The sequence below is a fragment of the Homo sapiens genome, chromosome 6 (genome assembly GCF_000001405.40).
Source record: "Homo sapiens chromosome 6, GRCh38.p14 Primary Assembly".
NCBI classification, from domain to species: domain Eukaryota; kingdom Metazoa; phylum Chordata; class Mammalia; order Primates; family Hominidae; genus Homo; species Homo sapiens.
The window spans coordinates 76,758,545-76,773,395 of NC_000006.12; positions in this window are offsets into that span (position 1 = coordinate 76,758,545).

The following is a 14,851-nucleotide window of genomic DNA, read 5'->3' on the forward strand; positions in this document are numbered from 1 at the left end:
AAAGCAGAATGGGGATATTTATAGGATACTTACAAAAGACAAAAGAATAAGATTTAGAAATTAAGAATGTAATAGCCAAGATAAAATATTACAAACAGGAGTTGAAATATATGGCCTGGGAAATCTTCCAAGAAGAGGCAGGAAAAGAAAAGATAAAAAAACGGCAAGAAAATATTAACTTAAAGTATAAAAGTGGATGAGCAACAGCTGACTAATAGAAGTTACAAAAAAGTAGTTAAAAGAAAACAAAGAGTAGGTAATTATCTATAATTACCTACATAATATAATAAAATACCTACATAATATAATAAAAATGTCCAAAGCTAAGGTACACATACCTCTTAATTTACAGAGCCCAATGTATGTCCAGCTTGGTGAATGAAGAAAGATACTCCCTGAGGCATGTCAGAAAAAAAAAGTCAGAATCCTGGCTACATAATTGTGAGGCTTAGTGCAAACTGAAAATGAAGGTCCCTTGTTCAAAAAGCAGGCAAAAAGTGTCATTAAAGTAACTAAAATATCAAACAGCATTCTTTATTCTGCAGTGTCTCTCAGCCTATTATGATATATTTTATTGGATATTGATGGTACACTCCCTTGTGCATGATGATACTGACAGCATAAGTGTAGGCCCTCATAGAGGGTTAGGGACTCCCTCCCTTGATTGAGTGAGTTCCCTGTCATCTCAGCTACCAAATTCAGGTCTGTGCTCCAGCCAGTGATGGATATGTCAAGCCAGGCAATCCCCTGTCTCACAAAACTTTTACCCCAGCCCACTACAGATGGGCAACACCAAAGTATTGCAACTCTGCAATGCAAAATGTGCTTGCTACCCAGACACCAAATATCTGTGCCCCTTAGCCTCCACCCAGGCCCCACTGTGGGTGGGGGGCTGCAAGGATCACTGGACAGGATCCGGGGAGAGGAGAAAGCTGGGTAGGGCTTGGTGTGCTAGGGGTCTAGGGAATGGACAGCTGAAGGAATGCAGTAAGATGGCAGGAGGTGCTACCATGTGTGAGCACTTACACGTTCCCTTGTTCCATCAGTCTTCAGTTGTAACACACATTTAGAAACAATTATTAACAATCTTAAGACATAAAACCAAAGCAAAACATTAAACCAAGCTTGGGGCCCTTCAGAACATAGGGCCCTGTGTAACTGAACTGGTTACATGCACATGCAGTTGGCCCTGCCTGTGTGTAAAGATCCTAAAATCTTCCATGGGTCACATATAAAAGACTAGGAATACAATTAATATTTAACTTCAAAAATAATAATAGATTCTAGAAGGAAATAAAGCAATTTTTTCAAACTTTTCAGTGAAAACAATTTTAATTTAGAATTTAATGATCAGCCAAATTATCAATCAAGTGTGAAGATTGTCTTAGTTATTTTTCTGCTGCTATAAACAGACTGTCACAGACTGAATAATTTATAAACAATAGAAGTTCATTTGACTCACGATTCTGGAGGCCCAAGAGCATGGTGCTGGAATCTTGTGAGGGCCTTCATGCTACCTTATCCCATGGCAAAAGGTAGAAGGGCAAGAAAGCAAGAGGTGGCAGAACTCACTTTTTTTGTTACAAGCCCACTTTCTAGGTAACTAACCCTCTCCCATAATAATGACATTCATCCATTCTTGAAAGCAGGGCCCTCATGACCCAATTACTTTGTATTAGGCCCCACTTCCTAACACTGTTGCACTGGGGATTAAGTTTCCAACACATGAACTTTGGGGCTGAGTAGGAAAAAACATTCAGTTTCTTCTACTATACACTCAAAACACATGTCTGACCAGATGTCTGGGGTTTTCTCTCTACCGGCAAGCAAGCAATTAATTCTGCAGTGGACACCAGTTGGGTGTCCTCTAATTCAATTCAATTCTGACACTATGTACCTGAAGACAGCATTATATCCCCCTGGTTGAAAGTTCAGTCTCACAGAGCCCCGTTTCCAATGCTAATTGCACAGCTCAGGTTATTATGTCTATGTTCTGATCCACTGGCTATAAACTGGGGTTCCCACAACCCCTTTTATGGGTTGGATTAATTTGCTGAAGCAGCTCACAGAACTCAGGGAAACACTTTACTTACATTTACTGGCTTACTATAAATGATATTACAAACGATACAGATGAAGAGATGCATAGGGCAAGAGATGTGAGAAATGACGTGGAGCCACCCTCCCCAAATCTCTACATGTTCAGCTATCTGGAAGCTCTCTGAACCCAGTCCTTTTGTTTTTTTATGGAGGCTTCATTACATAGGCATGATTAATGAAATCATTGGCCCACTGGTTACTGGTGATCAACTCAACCTTCAGTACCTGTCTTCTCCTTGGAGGTTGGGGTGGAGCTGAAAATAACAACTCTGCAATCATGCCTGGTCTTTTTGGTGACCAGGCTCCATCCTAAAACTACTTGGGGGCTGCCAGGCATCAGTCAACTCATTGGCATACACAAAGACATTTATTACTTTAGAGATTTCAGGGATTTTTAGGAGGTCTAAGACAAGAAATGAAATAAAGGCCAAATAAATATTTTACATTATCAGAGAAGGACACATTCACACCACAGCAAAAATAGAATAAAAAATGTAAAGTATGAAAGACAGAAAATTTTTCCTTTTCATGCTTTGTAGGAAGATTTAGAGCGTATGCTTCAGCAACACAAGCAGATTAAACAGGAAAGAGACTGAAATAGAACTAGGAAATAGAAATTCCAATTAAAGAAAGCAGTAAAGAGAGGTTGAAGGTTAACATTATTATCAGAATGTATTAGTCCATTCTCCCACTGCTATAAGGACATATACCTGTGACTGGGTAATTTATATAAAGAGAGAAGTTTAATTGACTTACAGTTCTGCAGTGCTGGGTAGGCCTCAGGAAAATTACAATCATGGCAGAAGGGAAGCAAACACATCCTTCTTCTCATGGTGGCAGCAAGAGGAAGAATGAGTGCCCAGTGAAGGGGGAAGCCCCTCATAAAATTATCAGATCTCATGAGAACTAACACACTATCACAAGAATAGGATGGGGAAAACTGTTCCCATGATTCAATCATCTCCGCCTGGTCCCTCCCATGACATATGGGAATTATGGGAACTACAATTCAAGATGAGATTTGGGTAGGGACACAGCCAAACCATATCATTCTGCCCCTGGCCCCTCCCAAATCTCATGTACTTAACAATTCAAAACACAATCATGCCCTTCCAACAGTCCTCCAAAGTCTTAACTCATTCCAGCATTAACTCAAAAGTCCAATTCCAAAGTCTCATCTGAGACAAGGCAAGTCCCTTCTGCCTATAAGCCTATAAAATCAAAAGCAAGTTAGTTACTACCTAGATACAATGGGGGTACAGGCATTAGGTAAATACACCCATTCCAAATGGGAGAAATTGGTCAAAATAAAGGGGTTATAGGCCCCATGCAGGTCTGAAATCCAACAGGGCAGTCAAATCTTAAAGCTCCAAAATGATCTCCTTTTGACTCCATGACTCACATCCAGGTCATGTTGATGCAAGAGGTGGGCTCCCATGGCCTTGGGCAGCTCTGCCCCTGTGGTTTTGCAAAGTAAAGCCCACTCCTGGTACCAATGTACTGTATTAGTCTATTCTCAAACTGCTATGCGGACATGCCCAAGAGTGTGTAATTCATAAAGGAAAGAGGTTTAATTGACTCACATTTCCACAGGGATGGGGCGGACTCAAGAAAATTAAAATCATGGTGGAAGAGGAAGAAAATATGTCTTTCTTCTCATGGCAGCAGGAAGGGGAAGAATGAGTGCCCAGCGAAGGGGAAAGTGCTTTATAAAACCATCAGATCTTGTGAGAACTCACTCTCATGAGAACAGGATAGGGAAACCACCCCCATGATTCAATTGTCTCTACATGGTCCCTCCCACGACTTGGGATTATGGGAACTACAATTCAAGATGAGATTTGGGCGGGAACACAGCCAAAGCATATCAGAGGCCAAAGAGCTTCTAATCCAGATTAGAGCAGAAGGACAGAGGGCTCCAGTAAGAAATGCTCCAGGAAAAAAGTCGAGCTGATGTTACATGTTAGGTGATCGTTTTGGATATAAATATTAACAGATATTGTAACTGATAGGATGGAGTGTGTGGCAAAAATGCTAAGTATTATGCCAGGTAAAGTGTCTTTGTAATATGTAGTTAGGTATTTTTTTATTAGTGTATAAAATAATTATTCTCTATTGTTTTGGAAGGTTTAAATATCCGTGAAAACTTACTCAACGCCTTTTATTATAGAATTTCTGCTGGCTAAAATTTCAAGTCTCCCCATCCCACATCCTTTTGCTTCTAGGTTGGGCTATATGAATCAAAAAAATATGTCACTTTTGGGCCTAGATGAATGAAAAGGCAGGTATGCCTTTCCTACCTTCTCTTTTTCCCTTCCTGTCTGAATTCAGAGGTCACAAACCCAAGGGAATGATGAAGTTATCAGACAGAAGAAATTATATGTGGAAAAGCCATCTGCCAGCTAATAACGTCTGCATTGTCCTGTTAAATAAAGAAAAACTAACTGCTATTGTCATAAGCTATTGCCGTGCTCTGCTGTTACACCAGCTATCCTAGCTAATACCAAATGCAGCTTAGAGATTTTGTGTTAAATTGGGTTTGGTCTGTGATACGGTTTGACTTTGTATCTCCACCCAAATCCCATCTCAAATTGTAATCCCCACATGTCAAGGGAGGGACCTGGTGGGAGGGGATTAGATCATGGGGCAGACCTCCTTTAATAGCAATTAAAGAAGTGCTATTCTTTAATATATAAAGAGGAAAACCTCTCAATTTTTGTGTGAAAATAAACATTTGGATAAACATTTATAAAGTATTGGATGATAAAAATAATAAACCCAGATTGAAACATGAAAAGATTGGAAGCATCTTGAATTCCACTTTGGGGTGTCTCACTAGGGATTTGATAGAACTTTTATGAAAGCTGAGCATTCTCAGGAGCCAGAGGAGCAAGTGGAAAGGAATTGGGAATCCCAACTGCTGATGCAATATCCATATTAATTTAAATATGGAATATTGTCTTTTAAACTTTAAAATGTGGATATATTATTGCAAATATTTAAAAAGTTGATAGATAAATTCATCTCTGAGATGTTCCCCTCTTGAGCTCTAATTCTTGAAGGTCTTTCATGTCACACTCTCTAGAAAAGTGTCAGAATATTATCCCCTAATGAGGTGACTTTGAATATATGCTAGGGTCCAGTTTTATACTACATTTAGGTTACTAGCAAAGTCTTAGTCAAATATACGTGTGAAACATATTGTAAATGGCTAGAGTAAAAGCACTCGAATATTTTAAGCAAGTGTAATTATTTTACATTTTGAGGACGTTTTATATTATTCAAAAAAGAAGGAACTCCAGAGCCTTATCTGCAAATTTTCGATGAGCAAAATAAGTTTAATTAGAGCTAAAGCACCAATATTTAAAATTATTTATATAAAAATATAATTACATATACTGTGCACATAAAAATATAATTATATGTGTATAATTGTCTATATATTTAAAAGATAGTACAGATTGGATTGCAAAAAAAAAACCCCTGTAGATTGCTTGCAGCAATATGTTCACATTTTTAATTACCTAATGTTGGATAATAAAATGTATCTTGTTTTTATGACTCTGGAAAACCTTCCCTCATAATCTGTTTTATATTGTAGGACAATGATAAGACATGTTATGTGAGAGACAGAAAGAGTACGAGGAACACTTAAATGAATAGCTTATCTTGGATGTTAAGGTCAAGATGTAGCTACAGAAACAAAAGTGGAGTTATAGATATACACTAGGAAAGTGAAAATTCTCATGAAGAACTCGTTACTTTTTCTAAAATATTAAAATAATCTCTTTCAGACATTGATATTATTTAGTATCTAGTTTGTTTTGAATCCATGCCAAGATTTTTAGAGACATAATCTGTCTTATTTCTTGTTCTTTGCAATGTTTGACACTCTATTGTTCCTGAGAAGTAATATTAGGTTTTATTTTTATTGCCTTATTTGTTCCTCTGGAAATATAACTCACTTTCTTAAGACATATTGGATATTGAAACAACACCAAGAATGTACCTTACAAAATTTTATAATTTTTTTCTAAATCTAAAAACAATTTAATACTGAGTCTACATCTTCACATATTGTACAGGTACACGTTATTATTATTTTCTCAGATTTTTCTGTTCGTTCTGCTTTGGAAAAATCTCATTGGTTCATTAATTTTAAAATCCTTGACCATTATGTCATTAATAGAATAAAATAGAAAGTTGGTCTCCTAGGACTTTGATATTATCACAGATATATTTGTATTGTTTTTAAAATGTGACAGTAAGTCAATCATTATGACAGCTATGAAAATTTCAAAAGCTAGTACCTGACTCATTCTAAAATGAGACTTTCTTTTTATGACTTTTTGGAATAGTTACATTGATAAAAGGAATCTAAATGTTATAAATAGTGGACACATTTGGGATATAAAATACAGTTGTTAATAAGTTATTAAATAAATGAGTGTCTGTTAATAATTGAACCACTAGCTAACTTTTCTTAATTATATAATGAAAGAAATATCTAAATATGAAGAGCTAAGAATACAAAAAATATTAAAGATAAAATTTAAGAAAATCTTCAAGGCAAAAATCCTAGGGGAAAGAAACAAAGGTGAGATCTGGGATATCTAATGTGTCAATATGAAAATTATTAGAAATGGAGGCAATAAAATATGTATTACAGGGCAGACTAGTCAGGACTTTTTGTTGTTTTCAGATGAGGGAAATCCAGCTTGATCAGTCTAGGCAAGACAGTTAATTTATTTACTTACCTAATTAACACTTGAGGGAGGCAGGCTCACCTCAGGAAAACCACACCAATGACTCCAACTCTGTCAAGCCTCTCTTTTTCCATCTTGCTTGTCAAACTCTATTCATAGCAACTACTTTATCTCAGATAAGTTCCTTCTATGAGGATGGAAGAAAGTCGGCTGATGGCTCTCAACTTCTTCACCAAAAAGTGATTAAGATGAAATGTCACTATTCTCAAATTAAAAAGAAAAATTCTAAGGAAGCTTCCTTACAGATCCAACTTGGATCAGGTGCACATTCCCGAACCACTTATATCTGGCCCTAGGTATGGGTAAAATGATGTAACTCAGCATGGAATAGGAGCTTACTCCTGGGCCACCAAAGAAGGATCAATGGATCTTCTATTGCAAACACAAATGTATAGTGGGGGAAAAGACATTTTTCTGAGAAAGTGGTTGAAGTCATGGCTAGGGAGCTACAGTTATATCTAGAAAAAAATCCTTCAAAATAATGAAGACCAAAGCGAGATGATAATGTAAAAATATTTATACTAACACCAAAAATATATGCCTTTTGGAAACAGGTATTCATTAAGACTATAGAAGATATTAAAGATTTGAATTTGAGGGAAAATAAGTCCATAGCAGATCATGAAATATTTATCAAAAATTTTAAAATGTTTCCATTTTATTATTCAGACATGTATATATGTGTATATTTCTGTTTCAGAAAGATTTAGTGACAATAGATTTTTTGAGAATGGGAGCCAATTTGATGTTAAATAAAAAAATAAGATCTACCTCATGTTTAAAGCACTCTGCAAATGTTACAGAATATTTTAAGATCTTATCTGAATTATTTCTGTCAGTAAATGAAGGAAGAAGCTACTTCAAATTCCCCCAGACATTTCATTTCTTTCATCAAACATATCTTCATACATGTGCCCTAATGTATATTAAAAATTGCCAAGTAGAAAATTGCAGTCACAAACTCATTTTGATTTTTTATAGTTATCTTTTCCAAATGTTTGTATACAAGACATCACTATACACTGCTGAGATAAATGCATACAAGAAAAAATGCATAAAAAATAAATAAAAGCTTAACATAAACTGGAAGAAGTTGGATTCATATAGATAAGGAGGTCACTATTAGATAATACTCTATGAGTATCTGAGACTTTAACACTGCATTATTGAATAGTTAAAACTGATGGTTTTATCTTTATTCTACATGTATGAGATGTAAACTGTGAATGTCACTGATGTTTATGCTATCTAAGGAGCTGCTGTCTTATCTTTTGTTGGTTCTTAGCTCTATATTTTGAGAGGTCTCATAGAATTGGAGCAATTCTCTAAACCTGCTTTCCATGGGGTTCTGCTTCACTGAGAAGGTTTGGTGTTTTAAATTATATGGAAGTTTTTCTAGGAGCTTTATATGCTTGATGGCAGAAAGCTGAAGAGTCTTTGGATGTGATCTGGACAATCTTGCCACCAACATTGGGCTGAATAGTTGATGTGAGGTCAGTTTTCCTGCAGTATGACTGAGGGTTCATGCCATTTTGGTGAATCCAGACCATGTATTTTAGAGTAAAGACCTAAGGTGTGGTTCTAAGTGCTCTCACCTAGCATGCAATTTACACATCCAAGGAGGGTGAAGCTTTATTTTGTAATACTGCACCACGAGGAATGCCTTGATTTGGCAAGCCATTGTTTATGGTCACTCCTTATACTAAGAAGAAAAAGTTTAGCCTTCTTTCTGATAGAAGCCAGAATGTCCTACAGACATTCAAGATCTGAATAGCTGAAGAAGACAAGGCCAGAAAGTAACACAATATTAAGATGGTGATGGTACTCTGTTGTGTTTTACTTTTCAAAATATGGTAGGACCTTATGTGACTGAAGCTATCTCCCTTGATGAAACTAACATGCAAAAGACATTGGGTACATTTTTCATTATACCTTGCCAATCAAATTTCCCATCCTGATTTTTTTTGGTTAAAAATTAATTAATCAAAGTGTGTCATATTTCTCAGAAGGTGAATTTTTTACATTTCTGAGCTTAAAGCCAATAGAAAGCTGGCACTAATAACTTAAAAGTAAGTCAACCCTTTATGTCAGTGACTATTCAGATATTAAAGTCACATAATATGTAGAGGACTTTGAAGAATTCATTTTCTTCAGCAGGAATAGTGGTCCCACAGAGAATCCTCATTTATAACTAGTATCTCAAATCTTGTGGTTGTAAAAATGTTACCTGTCGAATTTTAAAATCAGGCCAGATTTATAGTTGCTGCAGCAGCAAGGCTGGATTTTTCTGGCATAATAAATTTTATCAAATAATTGTTCCATATCTTTTACAAAAATTATTACACTAGTTAAGTTTAGAATTTCTTTAGGCATGCTTGAGGTTATGTTTAATCACATTTAACCTAATTTGGGAAGGCAGTTCTACATTTAAATACATTTTATACAACATACAAATTCCCACATTAGATTATATAAGATTTGAGACATCTATAACCCAATACTGATCTAAATTCCCAAGCAAGAATATACTAAATATACACTTAATTGCTTGTAATTATTTAAGCATATTGAAAACATTAAAAAATTGTGAATATCCTTGAACACTTGGAAAAAATTTTGTATACATGTATATATGAAAATACATATATTTTCACATTTAAATGGGCCTACATGTCTAGAAAATCTTTATAAAAAAGGAGGACATATACATTGGTTACATAGAAAATAGGTGCGTACTAGCTAAATATGTCAGTTAGTCCCCTGTGAATTCTGCATAAGCTGAAGAAACCACAGAGCGCATTACATGTATCATGTACTTAAGCATTATTAATTTTTAAAACTTTCTTGGAAAACGTTTGGGCAATAAAACTAAAAATTAATAACTTCTAAAACCATAAATTATTAAGACGTCCATTTCTTGCTACATCATAGTAGCTTTTATCAAATCAACTATCACACTGAGACAACAAGAAAGCCTAGATTGAAGAACAAAGAAAGAAAACCAGGACCTGAAAAGTCAAGGCTACAGAGAGAGCATAGGCTGACCTTGTCTACTGTGCTTTCCCCTCTGTGTGTTTCCTGAGTGTGTCAGAGAAGCCAAGCAGAAAGTAGAGACTGAACAGTTTTAAAAGTCTCCTGGGAAAAATTATAATCAAGGAATAAAAAAGTCAGCTAGGCCAAGGCCCTGGAAAAAGGGTACCACAGAGAAGTGAAACCAACATTGTATAGACATTTGGTGCTGCAGGTCAGTTGTCTGGGTGGCCTTGGAGTGACCTAGTTCTCTCCCTTTTCTTGCTTGGAGTTCTCAGGAACAGCTGTAGATTGTGATGGGAATGCAACGTCTTGAGTTAGGGAGGAACTACTCTGGTACAGCCTTGGCTTTACTCCACTTTTCCCTGGAAGCCAGATGTCTTTCAAAGATTTGCCTGATGAGTTACGTGCCTCTGATGTATATAATCCAGGGTGGGCTTCCTGTTGGGGTTCCTCAGCTGTAATGCAAGTGGGACATGCTCAGTTGAGACTTCACTTGCCCTGTGCAGCTTTGTTGAGGCATGGAGGGATTGGCTCACAACAGATCCTAAGCTTCTTTTGTCTCTTGCTGCCTATCTGTGAGTAATAAATCTGTTGCACATAACTTGTTGTGTGTATGTTTTGTCTCACCAGACTCAGACAAATGGTAATTAGTAAACCTGCTTTACAAAATTGACATAGTGAGTAGAGGCTGGTCTGAAAGAACCATGGCTTATGGGCAAAGTAGGGGCAGCAAATAACCCCCAGGCTGGCACTGGGGGTTACTGCTCTACCCACTTTGCCAATAAGCATCAGCCTGGGCAAACAGGGGCTGGATGTGCAGCTGGATGTTTGATCAGGAAAGAAGGGTGATAAGGTAGGCATAGGTCACCTCCCCCACCCAGATGTGTGAGCTGGTTGCTGATTGAGGCAGAGAGAGAGGAATGCAGAAACAGGGGAGCACGGCACAGGATCCCCTGGCTTTGGACACTTATGTGACTGTTCATTCCTGGCTAGAGAACTGGGAAAGTGAGTACTCAGAAGAACCCTGAAAGGGAACTAACACGTGTGCTATGTGGGCCTTCACAGAAAGAGAGACTCATTATCTAAAGCATAAATATAGAGAAAGGCCAGAGGAATCTCATGCAGCCTGGTTGATTTTTTTTTTTTTTAAATCAAGGGACATTGCAAATCCAAATGTCTCAGGCAGAATGGTACAGTTAGAAATGGGGCCAGTCAGCCTGAGAAATTAGGTTCTCAACTGGAGGTCAATGCCAATGTCCCTATAATCCTGTTAAAACAAGAGGAGAAAAGAAAGGAACTCGGACTTTTCTGGGGGCTCTTGGATATTAGAGCCCACATAACAATACTTCCAGGTCCCCTTAGGGGAAAAATTAAACTGATGACCTCAGGAGAATTGGGGACAAATATGTGACTCGCAGTACTTATTTGCTTATGCTTGGGGTCCTTTGAGCCATTTCAGGTGCCAGAGACTGTGGTTCCCATAGCTGAGTACATGAGAGTTGTGAGACAAAGTAGCAAGCATCATGCATCCCTTAAATATATACACCTACTATGTGCCCACAAACATAAAAAATAAAAAGAAGCCATGTGTATAAGTCAGGGTTCTGTAGAGGGACAGAACTAATAGGCGATATGTATATATAGCCTATTTTGTATATATATATATCACCTATTATATATATAGGAGTTTATTAAAGAGTATTAAACTAATACGATCACAAGGTCCCACAATAGGCCGTCTGCAAACTGAGGAGCAAGGAAGCCAGCCCGAGTCCCAGAGCTGAAGAACTTTAAGTCCTATGTTTAAGGGCAGGAAGCATTCAGCACAGGAGAAACATGTAGGCTGGGAGGCTAAGACAGTCTAGTCTTTTCACATTCTTCTGCTTGCAATTTATCCTAGTCATGCTGGCAGCTGATTAGATTGTGTCCACCCAGATTAAGGCTGAGTCTGTCTTTTCCAGTTCACTGACTCAAATGTTAGTCTCCCTTGGCAACACCCTCACAGATACACCCAGAATCAATACTTTGCATCCTTCAATCCAATCGAGTTGACACTCAGTAGTAACCATCACACTATGCTCATTTCTGCTTTCCAGCATGATTTCACAAAGCCCCTGACTCTGTGATGATGTGCAGCTCTCAGAAAGACGCTTTAAAGACAAAACAGGATAGACCACTCCCACCCCCATGCCTCTTGCCCTAGTCACTGTATTCCTTAGAAGATAAATAATCCTAGTCCTTTCCTCTTCTACAGATAAGATAATGTCTGACAGGGTTAGTGATTATGCCTCTGTAATCTATAGCCAGATGTACTCTTACACCCAAACCTTGATCTGATTCTGCTCTAATATAACTTCTGAACAAGTTTAATACAATTTTACATGTACTAAACACTTACCATCTCTATATAAGCATTGGGCTAAAATACTGTGCCAAACAGTCTAATAAAAACCCTCCACAGGGCTGCCACCAGGCTATAGGCCTTGGTCTATAGTCCTCAATAAAACTTATAAATAAAACCCACCGTAACTCTTTAAAAGCTTTTTTTTTCTTTAGTTGACATACGCATTGACACTCTGGCTGCTTGTGGAACAGAATATCACCACATCATAGCCAAGAATTCGAGCCTAACAGTGGAACATATCCACTTCAGCCTGCCACCTAAGCTACCCAAGTCCCAAGTTTCTTCCGCAAAAGCAGTACTGCAAGCTAAGTGGAAAATAGGGTATTATTTTGCTAATTCAGGCCTTGCTACACACTACACTATCACAATGTAACAGCCTCTTCTGGCTGGTCAAAAAGGCCTTTGGGGCACAGAGACTAACAATGGACTGTCCAGGCTGAATGCCAGAGTCACTTGGGCAGGATGCCAAAAAGGTATTCCAGAGACAGTGAAATAAATATTTTTAACCCTGGAGGTACTCACTAATAAAAAGGAGGCCTAATAGCTGGCAGGCATCTTTGGGTACTAGAGACAGTATGTACCCCACCTGGGTGTTCTGTTGGTCCCCTTAGTCAGGTGACCAGCAAAGCTACTAACTTTAAGTGGAACCCTTTGCAGCAGCAGGCTTTGGAAGCCATTCAATGAGCTGTGGCCCAGGCACTGACTTTAAAAGCTTTAAAGCCTGCTACCCTGATGAAATGACATGTGTGCATAACCACTCTGCATGTGGATTGGAGTCTGTGGCAACAGAAAATTGCCAATGGGGTGTGCAAGCCTCTTGGAGTTTGGACATGTAAGTTGCCTGAGGCCGCCTGCAGATACACCTCTTTTGAATGACAACTCCTTGCTTGCCATTGGACACTAAAGGAGACTGAGCATCTTGTGACTGAACTGCCACAAAAGACACTGCAACTTGAACTGTCCATTCTCACCTGGGCACTCACAAACCTTGCCAATGAAATTGGACAGGCTCAATACAGCTCAATGATCAAATGGATAGGATACATTCAAAAGATTGGGCTTAGCAGCCAAGAGACCAGTAGGCTCCATGAGCAAGTGGCTAACTTGCCAGAAGGGACTAAACAACATGTAGGGGATGTTTTGGATCCTCCTATGGATACCTGGGGCCCAAGACTGAGACGTGCCTACTGACAGTATGACATGGCTTGTTTACTGATGGCTCTTCCAAATGGCAAGCAGGCAGGGTTCCCTGGGCTGTGGTAGCCATCTAGCCAGTGGATAGGTATCTCATGGCTGAGACTGGACATGGGCATTTTGAACAATGGGCCAAACTACATGCAGTGGTGATAGCCACATAGACTTCCTCTACCACCCTATCTTGCTACATTTTCACTGACTCATCAGCTGTTGCCAACAACCTAGACATCTCGTCAGAAGAAAGGCAACTAAGTGGATGGATTATTAAAGGACAAGTACTATTACAATAACTTGCTGTCTGGAATGGGAAAGTATATATGTCACTCATGTGGAGGATGGGACTAACATAGCTTCTCTTAAAAGGAACACATGTCATGTTTTTGATTACCCCACGGAACTTCACTCTGACCAAGGAATGGTTACTACCCAAATAACACAACAATGTGTGCATTCTCCTAAAATACAATGGACTTTCCATACACTTTGTCATCCTCAGGCCAATGGAGCTGTTGAATGGTGGTGGAGCCAACTCACAAAACAACTGAAGAAATGACATCAAGATGGCCTGCTAATGGAGTGACAACCCCTTCTGACTAGAGCAATGTGGTCACTAAACACTGCACTCTAATCCAAGGGAAACATGGTACTGCAGCTCAAGTTGACAGAGCTTGGTGGAGGTGGAGGTGGACTAAGTAGCTGCCTGGAGGTTGACAGAGATGCAGAGCTTGGTGGAGGTGGAGGTGGACTAAGTAGCTGCCTGATTAGGCTGTGCCTGCAAAATCCCAATTCCAGTGTTCCAAACTATGATTTTTGTTCTTCCCCTTTACAGTGCATGTCCTGGAGGGTGGTTTGCAGTTTAGGCCACCCTAGTACCCCAGACAAGGCTCCCTAACTTCAAGGTGATACTTCTCCTGGGTTCTTCTCCTCTATGGGATTCCACAGAGGTGGAGAACAAGACCAAGGAATACCAGGATGCTAGGGTTCCCCTGGAGGCAGGGAGCGTTTAATCCTTCCAGTATAGTGGATGTTATCAGACATGTCAAGTTAATACAGGATATAACCTCCCTTCCTAGGCTGGATGACACAGGCCCAAAGGTCTGGGTCAAGCAACAAGAATAATGAGTGATCACAAAGGTATTAGCCTTGGGACTGGGGCAGACAGATGGGTTCACTACACCAACTCAGCCCAACCCTTATGCAATAGGTAGGGGATACCTGAGATCCTGGGAGGGTAGAGGGGTGGGAAACTAACTTGTTAATCTGCTTTTTCCACGAGGACAGGGTAGTACAGGCCTAGAAATATAATATCATTTTTAGGCTCTCCCAGACTGTGGCAATGTGGATAATCTGA